Source organism: Homo sapiens, chromosome 9 (assembly GCF_000001405.40).
Source record: "Homo sapiens chromosome 9, GRCh38.p14 Primary Assembly".
NCBI classification, from domain to species: Eukaryota; Metazoa; Chordata; class Mammalia; order Primates; family Hominidae; genus Homo; species Homo sapiens.
The window spans coordinates 37,828,297-37,845,179 of NC_000009.12; the positions used below are offsets into that span (position 1 = coordinate 37,828,297).

Below are 16,883 nucleotides of genomic sequence, written 5' to 3' on the forward strand. Positions count from 1 at the left end.
GGTTGGAAGCACTGTCATGTATCTGTAAAAACAAATATAAGTCTGCCAGGTGCAGTGGCACACACCTGTAGTTCCAGGTACTTGGGAGGCCAAGGCTGAGCCCAGGAGTTCATGGACAGCCTGAGCAAAATAGCAAGACCCCCTCTCAGAAAAAAGAAAAAAGAAAAGGAAAACAAATTCAAATCTTCTCTGGAGGCAAAAAGTCAGCATCATAAAGAAGTTGATTCTCCCCAAATTATTCCATAAATCCAGTGTAGTTTTAGTTAACATACCAACAGACTTTTTCATAAAACTTGATTTTAAAACTTATATAGAACAGCAAGAGCGAGGCATGGTGGTGCATGCCTATAGTATGTAGTCTTAAAACAGGAGTAGATTAAGTGACAATGGAATATCCCAAAAACAGACCTGTGTATCTATAAAAATGTTGTATATGATAGCAGGGGCATTATGAACCAGTGCGGGGTGGAAATGGAAAAGAGAGGTTTGGCTATATATATGAAAAAATAGAATAAAATTAGATCTCTACTTCACACCATAAGTGAAAATAACTTCCAGTTAGATTAAAGATCTAATTATGAAAGCAAAGCTTTAAAGTTTTAGGAGAAAGTATAGAATATAGTTGTATTCTAAGTGTAAGAAAGGATTTTTTTAGATACAAAAAGCATAAATCATTAAGGATTGATCAGTTCAACTGCATAAAAATTTTAAACTTCATTGTAACCAAACGCATCATAATAATGTGAGAAGATAGGCTATAGTTGGTGGGAGAAGGTATTTTCAATGTACATAACCAGAAAAGTATTAGTATATAAGATAATAGCCCTTTAGCAAAAGAGGCAGAGAATCACCTAAGATAAACTACAATGAACAGGCCGGGCACGGTGGCTCATGCCTGTAATTCCCGCACTTTTGGGTGGATCACCTGAGGTAGGGAGTTCGAGACCAGCCTGACCAACATGGAGAAACCCCGTCTCTACTAAAAATACAAAAATTAGCCGGGCATGGTCGTGCATGCCTGTAATCCCAGCTACTCGGGAGGCTGAGACAGGAGAATCACTTGAACCCGGGAGGCGGAGGTTGCGGTGAGCCAAGATTGTGCCATTGCATTCCAGCCTGGGCAACAAGAGCAAGACTCCATGTCAAAAAAATTAATAAATAAAATAAAATAAAACAAAAAACTACAATGAAGAATAACTACAGAAAGATGTTCAAGCTTATCATTTATTATGGAAGTACAAATAAAAATAACAGTAAATACCAAGTATTGGCAGAAAAATACTTGCTATTTCTCTCGGCAGCGAAACGTTGAGAAATAGGCACTCTTAGATATTACTGATGAAGTATAAATTTATAACATTATTTTGAAGAGCAGTTGAGCAATATATGGTAAAGCTGAAGATTAATTTTTTTTTAATAATTGATGCAGGCTGGGCATGGTGGCTCATACCTGTAATCCCAGCATTTTGGGAGGCTGAGGTGGGACAATCACTGGAGGGCAGGAGTTCAAGACTAGCCTGGGCAACACAGTGAGACTCCGTCTCTACAAACAATTTAAAAATTAGCCAGGTGTAGTTGCACGTGCCTATAGTCCCAGCTACTTAGAAAGCTTAGGAGGAATGCTTGAGCCCAGGAGTTTGAGGCTGCAGGGAGCCATGATTGCACCACTGCATTCCAGTCTGGGTGACAGAGCAAGACCCTGTCTCTTAAAGAATAAAGAAGAAGAAGAAAGAAATTAATGCATATGTGGACACGGAGGTATATGAAGAAGATTCATTATAGCATTGTTTGTAATAGAGAGAAGTTGGAAACGAATGTCTATCAAGAGGAAATATTAATAGATAAATAAATTCTGGTGTACTCATACAATGAAATACTATACATCAGTTAAGATAAATGAACTAAAAGCATCAGCATCTGATACACATCTCAGAAATTTAAAGTTGAGGTAGAAAAGAAAAAAATGTAGAATGAGCTTTATATAGTGTGATACCATTTACATAAAATTTGAAAACATTACAAACATAAGCTTGGTGAGGGCATGTATTTGTTCTGTGCTCTATCCCAGCATCTAGAATTGTGCCTAGCATATGGTGGGTTCTTATTAAACATTTACAGAGAAAAAACTGAACGCAAAACAATACTATAAAGTGTTTATGGTTACATACATATGAATTCATGGTATTAAAAATTTACATGGGAATAACAACAACTTTTGGATAGTGGTTCCCTCTGGGGAGGAAGAGAAGGGAAGGGACTGGGGAGGGATATACAAGGCACTTCAACTGTGTTTGTAATGTTCAAAAATATGTGAAAGATAAAATGTTAAAATTGATAAAGCTGAGTGGTATCACAGATGTTTGTTATATTTTTCATAGTTTTCTCTATGTTGCTAATATGTTATAATTTAAAAATTTCTTAGAAAGATAAGACTTGTGCCAAGTTGTTTGCCTTTACTCAAAACAACCTTTGGCTAATCCGCTATTAGAATGTATTATTTATCAATGTTAGCCTTCATTTGCTGCTGCCAGTATGCCTGCCATAGCAACTCATGCCTACAAATTTGAATCTGCTTCTTCTGATCTGTTGATTAGAGAAATCGATTTTGAAGCTCGTTTAGAAGTATACATAACTTAAGAGTTTTGGCTGGGCGCAGTGGCTCATGCCTGTAATCCCAGCACTTTGGGAGGCTGAGGTGGGCAGATTGCCTGAGGTCAGGAGTTCCAGACCAACCTGGCTAACATGGTGAAACCCCGTCTCTATTAAAAATACAAAAATTAGCTGGGCGTGGTGGCACACGCCTGCAGTCCCAGCTACTCGGGAGGCAGGAGACTCGCTTGAACCCAGGAGGCAGAGGTTGCAGTGAGCCGAGATCGCGCCACTGCACTCCAGCCTGGGCGATAGAGCGAGACTCTGTCTCAAAAAAAAAGAAAGTTTTGAGTGAAGATCTGAAGAGTCTTTGGTGCATGAGCTCAAGTGTGCTTTATTTATTAATAATACTAACTTCCATTTTTTAATGCTTTCTATGTGCCAAACCTTCTGTGAAGCACTTTTTATACATTACTTAATCCTCACAGTATCCCTCTGTGAGACAGATATTGTAGCTATTTAAGGAATAAAAAACTATAACTCAAATAAAGAGATTTGCCCAAGTTCTTAGATATAGTAAGTGGTGGAGCTGGAATTCATACTCAGTTCCATTAGATCACCTCACTGTACTGTTCAGAGACAGGGGCATGCATTTTCTGGTTTGAATCTAGACGGTCATTTTGTACATACTTGGTAATGTCTTCTAGTTCATTTCTTAGTTTTGTAGTTTGCTTATTATCTTGTAAAATAAAAAAATAAAAAACATTGGTAGTTACGGACAATATTTTCTATTACTTCATATTTTGGGAAAGTAGTGGGAAAAGTCTGTAATTTAAATACTTACACCCATTATACAGGCTTACTTCTCATTCCTGAGGGATCTGTATGTGGATTTAGAGTTCCTTTAATAATCATTAGCTGGGCGTGGTGGCCGGCATCTGTAATCCCAGCTACTCGGGAGGCTGAGGCAGAGAATTGCTTGAACCTGGGAGGCGGAGGCTGTAGTGACCCGAGATTGTGCCACTGCACTCCAGCCTGGGCGACAGAGCGAGACTCCGTCTCAAAAAACAAAACAAAAAAAAGATCTAGGTCCCCCCAGTTATGAAGTTGCAGGGAGAAGCCCGGAGGTCATCATAAAAATATTTACTTAGTGATATTACATTTAAAAAATTAGTACCTATTTAGTCGGGCATGGTGGCGGGTGCCTGTAATCCCAGCTACTCAGGAGGCTGAGGCAGGAGAATCGCTTGAACCATCTAAAAAAAAATAATAATAATTAGTACCCATTTAGGCTGTGCATGGTAGCTCATGTCTGTAATCCCAGTACCTTGGGACGCCGAGGTGGGCGGACCACCTGAGGTCAGGAGTTCAAGACCATCCTGGCCAACAAGGTGAAACCCCATCTCTACTAAAAATACAAAAATTAGTGGGGCATGGTGGCGGGTGCCTGTAATCCCAGCTATTTGGGAGGCTGAGGCAGGAGAATCGCTTGAACCCAGGAGGTGGAGGTTGCAGTGAGCCGAGATCACGCCATTGCATGCCAGCCTGGGCAACAAGAGCGAGACTCCGTCTCAAAAAAAAAAAAAAATTGATACCCATTTAAATATATCCCAGGATCTATTTCTCCCTCCCACTGTCTTTGTTGGCGTGCTGCTGATTGTTAAATTTCAAACTATATAATGCAAATGTAGTGCTGTGTCAGTGGGAACACGAAATTTCTTATCTTACAAAGGATGCAGAATTTTGCAAAACCCTGAAAATTATGTTAGAGAACTGGTCAAGTAATATAAAATCACTGGCAGATAATGATATCATAGAATTAAGAGTAGTGATCAATTAAAGAAAATGACATCAATTATGACATGATAGACACCTCAAAGCATTATGTGAATAACTCACAGGACTAAGGAAAAAGGCTCTTGGGAAAATTGATGAGGCCCTTGAATATTTATACAGAAATGACTCTCTGTTTTAGGTTTTGTTTTGTTTTTTATTTTTTGTTTTTGTTTTTGTTTTTTGACAGGGTCTTGCTCTGTTACCTAGACTAGGCTGGTGTGCAGTGGCACGATCATTGCTCACTGCAACTTCTGCCTCCTGGGCTCAAGCAGTTCTCCTGCCTCAGCCTCTCAATAGCTGGGACTACAGGCTTGGCTAATCTTTTGTAGAGATAGGGTTTCTCTATGTTGCCGGGGCTGGTCTTGAACTCCTGACCTCAAGCAATCCACCTCGCTCAAAGTGTTGGGACTACAGGCGTGAGCTGAAATGACCTTCTTTTTGATTATACTACAAATTCAAATATGAAGTAAGGATGTCATATTCTGCTATCATTATTTCATTGGGAAGATTAAGTAAAAAATGCCAAACATTTAATTATTCTTGTTCTGAGAATTTGCATATGCAGATGCTCTTCAACTTCTGATGGGATTATCTCCCAATAAACCCATTGTCAGTTGAAAATATTGGAAGTCAAAATAAATTTAATACCCAGATAAACATCATAAAGTCAAAAAATTGTTAGTCAAACAATTTTAAGTGGGGGATCGTCTGTAGTTAAATAGGAAAATGTTATTTTCATGAGTTTTCATTTAATTTTTTTTTAAGATATAGACTCAACAACACTTTCATTTATACAATGAAATGTTAGTACCCATTTTAATAGAATTCATTTTCAGTTTCTTTTATCCTTTACCATATCATCTGACAATGAAGACCTTGAATTTGTCCAGATGTCAGCTTACCCATAGCTGTTACAGTCATGTATGCTGGGGTTTGATGGGGACATTTGGAGAAGTTCTGTGATTCAGAGACACAGATTTCAGTGTGTTTGAAGGGTTGTCTCTTATTTATTGGGGTCTGTGGAGTTATAAATATTTTACAATTATTAACTTATTAAGCTAGACTGAGTTTTGAGAGGACTAGGCCCACATATCGAAGGATTTGTCTAACGCTACATTCTCTGCATCTGTTGATTTTGGGATAAAAATTGTTCTAGGTGCTTTAATTTATCTCCTAGTGTACATTCTTAATATTCTACAATTTTTTTCTCTTTATCAGTGATTTTCCAATACCAAAGTTTTTTTTGTTTGCTTTGCCGCCTAGGCTGGAGTGCAGTGGTGCGATCTCGGCTCACTGCAGCCTCCGCCCCGCCAGCTCAAGCGATTCTCCTGCGTCAGCCTCCCGAGTAGCTGATATTACAGGCAGGCGTCACCACACCTGGCTAATTTTCATATTTTTAGTAGAGATGGGGTTACATCATGTTGCCCAGGCTGGTCTCAAACTTGAGCTCTGGTGATCCGCCCTTGTTGACCTCCCAAAGTACTGGAATTACGGGAGTGAGACACTGTGCCCAGCCATCTTTTTTTAAATTTATGTTTTACTAAACAGCAACTTCCAATATCAAAGTTTTTAATAAGTAATATTTTGAGGCAAAAATGAGCCAATTAAAGTCAAAGTATTGAATTTCTCATTAAACTTATTCAATTCAAAACTATTAGCTTTTATTCCAACTTTATATTTTTCTATATTTTTGGTATTAAAATATCCTTTCATGCAACAATTATAGTTTTTTAAATGACCTTATTAAGAAAAATTAAAAAGCTAATCCCCCTATTTTTTATGAAAGTCCAACAGTCTGGAAACCTAGCCAGTTCAGAGATCTTTCTGAAACTCTCATTCTAATAATCTCTCTTCCTTAAAACTCTCAGACCACTGTGGCCTACAGCAATATAACCCCACTGGGGTTTTAAATCCATCTGTGCATTAAGTATTTTCTGTAGACCGAATAAAATATCTTTGTTATTTTTTAAAAACTTTTCAAATGTATGAATATGCTCAATTTATTTTAAAACTTTAACTTTCCAGTAGCTTTTTAGAAAATATTTTTTGTACGTATTTTTCTCAATCACGTACTTTTTTTTTTTGAGACAGGGTTTCACTCATGTCGCCCAGGCTGGAGTGCAGTGGTGCTATCTCGACTCACTGCAACCTCCGCCTCCCTGGCTCAAGAGATTCTCTTGCCTCAGCCTCCTGAGTAGCTGGGACTACAGGCTCGTGCCACACCTGGCTAATTTTGGTATTTTTCATAGAGACGAGGTCTCATCATGTTGCCCAGGCTGGTCTCAAACTCCTGAATTCAAGAGATCAGCTGGCCTCGGCCTCCCATAGTGCTGGGATTATGGGTGTGAGCCACTGTGCTCAGTCTCAGTCACATAATTTCTGTCAAATATGGAAGTCATTGAACTAGTTTTACTTTAGAAAGCATCATCAGGGCCGGGCGCAGTGGCTCATACCTGTAATCCTAGCACTTTGGGAGGTCGAAGTGGGCAGATCAGTTGAGGTCAGGAGTTCAAAACCCACTTGGCCAACATGTTGAAACCCTGTCTCTACTAAAAATGTAAAAAAAATTAGCTGGGGCCGGGTGTGGTGGCTCACGCTTGTAATCCCAGCACTTTGGGAGGCCAAGGCAGGCAGATCATTTGATGCCAGGAGTTTGAGACCAGCCTGGCCAAAATGGTGAAACCCTGTCTCTACTGAAAATACAAAAATTAACCGGGTGTGATGGTGGGCGCCTGTAATCCCAGCTACTCAGGAGGCTGAGGCAGGAGAATGACTTGAGCCCGGAAGGTGGAGTTGCAGTGAGCCGAGATCGCGCCACTGCACTCCAGCCTGGGAGACAGAGTGAGACTCCGTCCAAAAAAAAAAAGTTACCTGGGCGTGGTGGCGGGCACCTGTAATCCCAGCTACTTAGGAGGCTCAAGCAGGAGAATCGCTTGAACCCGGGAGGCGGAGGTTGCAGAGAGCTGAGAGTCACGCCATTGCACTCCAGCCTGGGCAACAAGAGTGAAACTCAGTCTCAAAACAACAACAACAAAAAACATTATCAGTAAAGGTAAATCTATAAGGGAAAGATGGACTTGACAATATAAGAATTAAAATTTTATATAATGTGTCTGGTTCATCAGAGATTGTTATCACAGGTTTGGTGAAATCCTTTGGAACATCAACGTGTAGGTTTGAAAACTGTACCCACTTCATATTGGTACTGAGAAGAAAGCCACCATTTTTGGCTATATTGCCCTTAGAACTGTTTACAGAAAAATTCCCCAATCCCTGCCAGAGGCGCCGGCACACGGCCCCAAACGCCGTCCGCGCCGCCACGGTAAGGCTGTATTGGACAGTTATGAATATTTTGCTGTGCTTGATGCTAAAGAACTTGGTATCTCTATTAAAGTACACGAACCTCCAAGGAAAATAGAGCGATTTACTCTTCTCATATCAGTGCATATTTATAAGAAGCACGGAGTTCAGTATGAAATGAGAACACTTTACAGATGTTTAGAGTTAGAACATCTAACTGGAAGCACAGCAGATGTCTACGTGGAATATATTCAGCGAAACTTACCTGAAAGGGTTGCCATGGAAGTAACAAAGACACAATTAGAACAGTTACCAGAACACATCAAGGAGCCAATCTGGGAAACACTATCAGAAGAAAAAGAAGAAAGCAAGTCTTAAAGCCTCAGGGAGGCCATTTTTGCCTGAATTTGAAATGAGGGTGGGCCAGATGAGTATGTTTAAGTGGAGAGTGCTTCCAGCTGAGATGATTTGAGTCTGCCCTAACTGCTCTATTGAGTTCTCGTGCCCTCATCAGCTGAGAGCAGGGAATGGAACTTTAATGCAAGAACCACTTTTATCTACTCTTTTTTGTACATGTCATTGTTTCAGTTCTGATTTCAACAAACATGAGCAAACCACTTTGACTCAAAGCGGAAAGAGTGAAAATTCTATTTTGTTATGCTACTGGTGTTCAATTATTAGTTTGTACCATTTTTAATTTATGTCAGTTGATGCATCTGAAAATAAGTGCTTGAAGTGTTCACACCCTTACTTTTTTTTTTTAAGATTCCTAGAAGGAATCTTTGGTTAATTCAGATTGAGCAGTTAAAGTTTTTGCTATTTACCTTTGTGCAGGCTGGCATATGCTAATTTGGGGGTGGTAACCAACCAATTTTATCTCATTTAAGCGTTACATTTTGAAGACTGTGAATATACTTCACAGTAGATCAAACACATTTATGGCATGCACTGACCTCTTCTTGGAGCCCAGAACTTTATAGAGTTGCCTACCAGGGTTACTGTAATGGAATTTATGATCTTAAGAAATTACTAGTTGTATTATTTATCCTGTGATTCATTCATTCAATAAGCTTTTACTGCATAAACTTTGCATCCAGCACTGTAGTAAGTACCCAAAATTGCATAGAAATAATGGCTTTTGAAAATTGCGCAAAGCAGGCCGGGCACGGTGGCTCACACCTGTAATCCCAGCACTTTGGGAGGCCGAGGCAGGCGGATCACGAGGTCAGGAGATGGAGACCATCCTGGCTAACACGGTGAAACCCCGTCTCTACTAAAAATACAAAAATTAGCTGAACGTGGTGGCACGTGCCTGTAATCCCAGCTACTCAGGAGGCCGAGGCAGGAGAATCCCTTGAACCTGGGAGATGGAGGGTGCAGTAAGATGAGATCGCGCCACTGCACTCCAGCCTGGCAACAGAGCGAGACTCCATCTCAAAAAAAAAAAAAAAAAAGAAAAGAAAATTGTGCAAAGCATAGGTAAATATTTTTCTTTACTAAGCTTCTCATTGATAAGCCCTCTTTCTTTTGGTAAATGTCACTCTGTTTGTTAGGAGATGTCTGCTTTTCCATGAAATGAAATAGTGGCTAAAGCCCTGAAAGAGGCAAGACTACAATGGGCTGAAACAGTTGGTATAGCAACCCCAGAGAAGTGCTTCATTTTCTTTTTATAGTAGAAGCAGGTCCATGTCTTTTGTGGTTTCCTTCACATCTTTGGAGTAGTTATGACTTCTCAGTTTTTCCCCCCTTAAACTGCATTGCCTGTTCTCTTTTCCTGACATGCTATCAGGTATCAGTGTGTTGAATACATACTGCTTGTGTGTCAAAAAAAAAAAAAAGAATTAAAATTTTGATTAGCTGGGCATGGTGGCATGTGCCCATAGTCCCAGCTACTCAGGAGGCTGAGACAAGGAGGGTTGCTTGAGCCTGGGAGGTCAAGGCTGCAGTGAGCCATAATCATCACTGCACTCCAGCCCAGGCAACAGAGCAAGACCCTGTCTCAAGAAAAAAAAAAATTAAAATTTTGATATGGGAAGAAAACATAAACCATATAAAAGATAGAAATATGTGGAAAATATATGCAATGCACAGTGTTTGAAAAACGGATATATTATCTTTAAAGATTTTTTTTACAACTCAGTAATTAAAATAATACTGCAGTTGTAAAATCAGCAAGGAACATGAACAGCAAAGAAATATATTTTTCTAATAAATGTGAAAAAGTTTCAACTTTACTAAACATAAAAGTTTCAACTTAAAACAAGATGATTTTTTTCCTAGCACTTAGGAGAAAGTTTTTTTAAAGACCTATGTGGCAAGGATTTGGGAAAATGGACACTCTCCTAACTGCTGATGCAACTCCATATTGGTATGATTTTTTGGAGAACAATTTGGCTACATTAAAAAAAACTTACATTAAAAAAATCTCATTTTACTTAGCAATATGTTTTTCTGGAAATATACTTAGAGAAATACATAGGGATGTGATTAATATTTGGCTGTAAGTATGCTCATCTTAGTGTTTTTTAGTAGTAAAAAATTGTAAGCAATCCAAACACCCAAAAATTGCATATTCATTTTAAAAAGAAGCCGGGCACAGTGGCTCACTCCTGTAATCCCAGCACTTTGGGAGGCCGAGGCAGGCAGATCACCTGAGGGTCAGGAGTTTGTGACCAGCCTGGCCAACCTGACAAAACCTGTCTCTACTAAAAATACAAAAATTAGCTGGGCATCGCAGCGGGCACCTGTAATCCCAGCTACTCTGGAGGCTGAGGCATGAGAATCACTTGAATGTAGGAGGTAGAGGTTGCAGTGAGCACCTGGGGGATAAAGCGTGACTCTGTCTCCAAAAAAAAAAAAATTAAAAAGAAAAAAGGTTTCAGTTCTTCATACAGTGAACACTATTCAGCCATTAAACATGATTTTGTTAATAAACCTTTAATAATGGCAATATGTTTTTGAGATAATATTAGGTTTAAAACAGAAATTAAGCTAAACATCAATAAAGTGGTTATTTTTGGTGATGGATTTTTTTTTTCTTTTTCTTTTTTTTGAGACGGAATCTTGCTCTGTGCCCCAGCTGGAGTGCAGTGGCACGATCTCAGCTCACTGCAACATCCGCCTCCCGGGTTCAAGCAATTCTCTGCCTCTGCCTCAGCCTCCGAGTAGCTGGGATTACAGGCGCCCGCCACCATGCCCAGCTAATTTTTTTTGTATTTTTAGTAGAGACAGGGTTTCACCATCTCGGCCAGGCTGGTCTTGAACTCCTGACCTTGTGATCCACCCGCCTCAGCCTCTCAAAGTGCTGGGATTACAGGCGTGAGCCACTGCGCCCAGCCGATTTTTTTTCATTAAAAATATTTTCAGTAGAAATGTTTTTTGTTATCGTTATTTTTAAAATAAGAGATGGGGTTTCGTCATGTTGCCCAGGCTGGTCTCAAACTCCTGAGCTCAAGTGATCCATCCATCTTGGCCTTCCAAAATGTTGGGATTATAGGTATGAGCTACCACGCTTGGCCAGGAAATGTATTTTTATAATTAAAAAATAGTTACTGGTAATCACCATAGAATAAATCCATAATGTATTCCCTAGTCATCTCTACTTTCCCACACACAGCACTCCTAACTGCTGCTTCTCAGAGGGCACCATCCGCTCACATGCCTGTGTATCTTTGCTTAGTAACCCTGACCACTTAGGGAGTTCCTGCTCATCTTTTATTCAGTTCAAATGATAACATCATGAAGTCTTTCCCAGCCACCCTCTTTGCTTATTCCACACAATTATTTCGTGTAATTATGTACTTACAGTGTCTTTTCTGCTAGGCAGTGAACTTCTCTTTCATTTATTTTGTAAGTATTTGTTGAGTGCATATGTGTCTGGCACCATGTGTATTGTATACTGCAGATCTAACCATGACCCTAGGCAGACAGGTTCCTTCTGTCTTCAGGGAGTTTACAGTAAAGTTGTTCCTTACAGTATAATATTAAGTATTATGATAGAAGCTCCCAGAATGCTTTGGGAGCTCAGAGAATTGGTAGGTCTACCAGGCTGGTTAAACAAGGAAGGCTTCCTGGAGGGCATAACAGCTGAATACAGTTATATGCCACATAACAACATTTCAGTGAGTGACACCATATACAACAGTGGTTCCAGAAGATTATAATGGAGCTGAAAAATTCCTATTGCCTAATACTTACTATGTTATACTTATTATTGTTATTTTAGAATGTACTCCTACTTAAAAAAAAATTAAACTGTAAAACAGCCTCAGGGAGGTTCTTCAGGAGGTATTCCAGGAGAAGCCATTGTTATCAGGAGATGACAGCTCTGTTCCTGTTATTGCCCCTGGAGGCCTTCCAGTGGGGCAAGATGTGGAGATGGAAGACAGTGATATTGATGATTTTTACCCTGTGTAGAACTAGGCTAATGTGTGTCTTTGTTTTTAACAAAAAAGTTTAAAAAGTAAACATTTTAATAGAAAAAAGTTAATAAAATAAGGCTATAAAGAAAGAAAATATTTTTGTACAGTTGTACAATGTGTTTGTGTTTAAGCTGTTATTACAAAAGAGTCAAAAGTTTAAAAAATTAAAAATTCATGAAGTAAAAAAAGTTATAGTAATCGAAGGTTAATTTATTACTGATGAAAAATTTTTAAATTAATTTAGTGTAGCCTAAGTGTACAGTCTTTATAATGTCTACAGTAATGGACAGTAATGCCCTAGGCCTTCACACTGACTCACCCCTCACTCACTGACTCACCCAGAGCAACTCCCACGCCTGCAAGCTCCATTCATGGTAAGTGCCCTATACAGGCGTAACATTTTAAATCTTTTATACAGTACTTTTACTGTATTTTTTCTATCTTTCAATATACAAATACTTACGATTGTGTTACAGTTGCCTACAGTATTTAGTATGGTAACATGCTGTGCACATTTGTAGCCTATGAGTGATAGGCTATATACCATATATACCATATAACCTCAGTGTGTACCATCTAGGTTTGTGTAAGTTCATTCTATGATGTTCACACAACAACAAAATCACCTAAGGACACATTTCTCAGAATGTATTCCATCATTAAGTGACACATGATGGTATTAAAAAGAAAGCAAGAATTAGCCAGATCCAGGGGCAGGAGGAAGGTTGTTTCACCTAGCAGAAACAACCTGTGTAAACGCCTGGTATTTGAAAACCGTGATCAATTTTAGGAAGGTCGTTATGGTGTTTGTGGATATTGAGGTTGATTTCTGACAATTATATGTAAATTTATCTTAGAAGAAGCACCAGAATTCATTTCTTCTGTAAGAGATTAGGATAACAGCATGTATTACAGAAAGCATCCTAATGTTAAATTAAGCAAAAATTCAAGTGTGAATAGTAGTTTATTTTTTAAGTATTTGTATTAAATATATTCTCACTAAGGATTGAGAAGTTAGTGTAAAATAATAAAAAGTCTGAATTATAGAGTATTTTAAGCCTATTTTGTAATTTTCTTGATTGGTCCTAATAAAATGTTGCTAAGAGATTATTTGGGAAATACCTTTCAGTTAAAAGATTTAAAATAATGGCAATTTTATAGCAATTTTTGTATGTAACTGTGTTCTAAATAGAAAAAGATGTTCCTTGTAGCAGAGCAAATATTTCTCATGATTTTGATTATGTGTAATGTGTCCCTCTCGGCAATCAAGTCTTCAAAACTTCCTCTATCGCCTATTAAATTCTCTCTCATCATTTTTGTTTCCTATAGAGATTCTGAAGTTCTTTTTTTCCCTTCTGTCACTGTTTTCCAAACACTTACCCCTATTTCCAATTTCAAATAAAAATCAGTAATTTAAAGCAAATGGATCCAATTGCAATATGACTGTCATTAAATCATAGTATCCTGGCTCTGTGATTATGCAAAGTATACTTTTTATAGTATATCAGTCATTGGGTTTACATAGTGAGTGTGTAGTCCTTTTTTTCTTTCTTTCTTGACTAGGTAATATAGTGACTGTTTCTCAAATCAATTTTCCTTTAAAAAGAGATTAAATGAACCAGGGTTTTGTTTTTCTGCTTTTATAGATTTCTTGATAACCGGCTGTTTGCTACCTGCTCTGATGACACTACAATAGCACTATGGGATCTGAGAAAATTGAACACCAAAGTATGCACTTTACATGGTCACACTAGCTGGGTGAAGAACATCGAATATGATACTAATACAAGACTCTTAGTAACATCAGGATTTGATGGAAATGTCATTATTTGGGACACTAACAGGTTTGTGAATAGGAGACCATGTTAGGATTATGAACAAAAACATTTTTTTTAAAGATGGTGAACAAATTCAGTGTTCTGTCCTAGCCTCAAGAAGGAAACTGGCTTTAGGAAAAGCAACCAAAAAGTGATGATATATTTTGTTAATTGTACCTAGTCATATATTGCAACTAAAAATTTTGGGGAAAATTATACAGGAAGGAGACCAAGTAGTATAGTTAATGATGAAAACTGGCTTATAAAAAAAGAGTTTCCTGAATTTAAGGAAAAATATTTTTGTTATTTCTCCTGTGAAACTAAACTGTTTCTCACTTTTTCTTCCCTCAATTCTACATATATTTATTTTGCAATTTTTGTTCTTTGTTTTCATGCATTAAAAGAGTAGTTCTCATTTGGAATGGTACTGATCTCAAAGGGAATGTTTAGGAATAAAGCGTGGGGCAATTTTGGTTGTCACTATGGGGGAAGAGAACTATCTACTAGCATGTAGTCAGCAAGGACCAGAGTTTCTAAACCTCCTGCAGTACACAGGTCAGTGTGCACAGTGGACTAGTTGTCCCACCTAAAATGCCAGTTATGCCTCTGTTGTGCAACATTCCAACAAAATGTCTCCTTATAAAGAAATTGATATTTAAAGAGTTGAAGTTTGAAAAACAATTAAAATATGCCTGCTTTGCTAGCTATGGTGAAATGATAATATAGTAAACACACCATGATCATTTCTGTGTATATTTGTTTTTGTTGTTGTTTTTGAGACAGGGTCTCGCATTGTCACCCAGGCTGTAGTGCAGTGGTACAGTCACAGCTCACTGCAGACTGGATCTCCCAGGCTTAAGTGATCCTCCTGCCTCAGACTCCTGAGCAGCTAGGACTATAGGCATGAGCCACCATGCCCACCTAATTTTTTATTTTTTGTAGAGACGGGGTCTCGCTATGCTGCCCAGGCTGGTCTTGAACTCCTGGGCTCAAGTGATCCTCCTGCCTTAGCTCCCAAAATACAAGGATTACAGGCATGAGCCACTGTGTGTGGCCATCATTTTCGAAATATTCTTTTTAGAGGTCATATGTAAAAAGAGAGGGGCTATTCTTGGAGATTTCTAGCTACCCATACTCTTTGAGTGGAAGGCAAAAACTATTGGTTATCTTTAGACAAAGACAAGCATACCTACTAAATGAATTTGTTTACTAAAATTTAGAAATAAAATTTGAATAGAAATATAAATGTAACTTCCAAATTAGTAGAGGGTAAAAAACTAATAAAACATGATCAATCCCATAGAAGCAGAGAAGGGAAGGAAAAAAGATAATTATTTAAAAGAACAGGTAAATTAGGAAGCACAAAACTAGTCATATACTGCAACTAAAAAGTTGGAGAAAATTATACAGGAAGGAGACCAAGTTGTATAGTTCATGATGAAAACTAGCTTACAAAATAAATTTCCTTAATTTCAGGAAAAATATTTTTTGTTATTTCACAAAGCATAAAACTAGTAGGCAGATAACCTAAGCTTTAATCCAAATATTAATAACTGTGATAAACGTATATGGGCTAAACTGTCCAGTTAAAAATAGACAGTGTTAGATTAGATTAAAAATAAAACAGAACTGTATTTTCTTTGTAAGGGACACAGTTAAAACATACAAACCTAGAAAAGTTGAAAGTAAAAGGATGAGAAAAAACAAACAATTATACGTCAAAGACAAAACAGTTGTGGCTACATTAATAGCAAACAAAATAAAGTTTAAGACAAAAAGCATTACTGATAAAAAGGTACTATAACAAAAGATTAATTTCACTAAAATATAAAAGCTTGTATGCGCCTAAAAACATAGCATAAAACTATAAAAAGTAAAAGTGGACAGAATTACAAGAAAGAAGTGAGAAATCTCCATCTCAGTGGAAAATATTAACAGCATTCTCTCATTTACTTATCTAGATAAGATAGACAAAAATGGGCCGGGCATGGTGGCTCACGCCTGTAATCCCAGCACTTTGGGAGGCTGAGGTGGGCAGATCACTTGCGGTCAGGAGACCAGCCTGGCCAACATGGTGAAACTCCATCTCTACTAAAAATACAAAAATTAGGCCACGTGTGGTGGCTCACACCTGTAATCCCAGCACTTCGGAAGGCCGAGGTGGGTGGATCACCTGAGGTCAGGAGTTTGAGACCAGCCTGGCCAGCACGCAGAAACCCCATCTCTACTAAAAATACAAAAATTAGCCAGGCGTGGTGGCTGGCACCTGTAATCCCAGCTACTTGGGAGGCTGAGGCAGGAGAATCACTTGAACCCAGGAGGTAGAGGTTGCCGTGAGCCGAGGTTGTGCCACTGTACTCCAGCCTGGGCCACAGAGTCAGACTCTGTCTCAAAACAATAACAACAGCAACAACAAAAATAAATAAAACACAAAAATTAGCAGGGCCTAGTGGCACACGCCTGTAATCCCAGCTACTGAGGCAGGAGAATCGCTTGAACCTGGGAGGCAGAGGTGGCAGTGGGCCAGCCTGGGTGACAGAGTGAGATTCTGTCTCAAAAAAGAAAAATAACAACAACAACAAACAAAAATGGATAAGGCTGTGGAAGATTTAAATATTATTAATAAGCTTGATGTATTACACATATTTAGATTTCTGCTACCAACAACTAGTGAAAACATCCTCTGAAGCAAACTTAGAACCAGTACAAAAATTGAGCATGTACTGAACTACAAAGTAGGTTTCAGCTGGTACCAAAGAACTATTATCACACAAACCATTTTCCCTGTTCTTAGTATCATTTAGTTATTAATTAAAAATTCTCATGTTTAGAGACTTATAAACTCACTTTTAAATAATTTATGGATCAAAGAAGAAATCATACTGAAGACAGGTTGAAAATTGATGAACTAAGCATCTTA

The 16,883-nt window shown here is 38.4% G+C and overlaps 1 protein-coding gene and 1 pseudogene across 8 annotated transcripts in view; one reads left to right on the plus strand and one right to left on the minus strand.

Annotated features, from left to right (window-relative positions):
* Window positions 1-16,883, plus strand: part of DCAF10 (DDB1 and CUL4 associated factor 10) — a 67,111-nt gene that overhangs the window by 27,743 nt on the left and 22,485 nt on the right. For 5 of the 8 annotated variants that reach the window (NM_001286810.2, XM_047423865.1, NM_024345.5 and 2 more), the window contains exon 3: window positions 13,793-13,990. The exons of the other annotated variants lie outside the window; for them this stretch is intronic. In NM_001286810.2, the coding sequence (NP_001273739.1) occupies window positions 13,793-13,990 (198 nt within the window). The remainder of the gene's footprint in view (window positions 1-13,792; window positions 13,991-16,883) is intronic. 8 annotated transcript variants of the gene reach the window in all.
* Window positions 7,744-8,293, minus strand: MRPS10P5 (mitochondrial ribosomal protein S10 pseudogene 5; annotated as a pseudogene).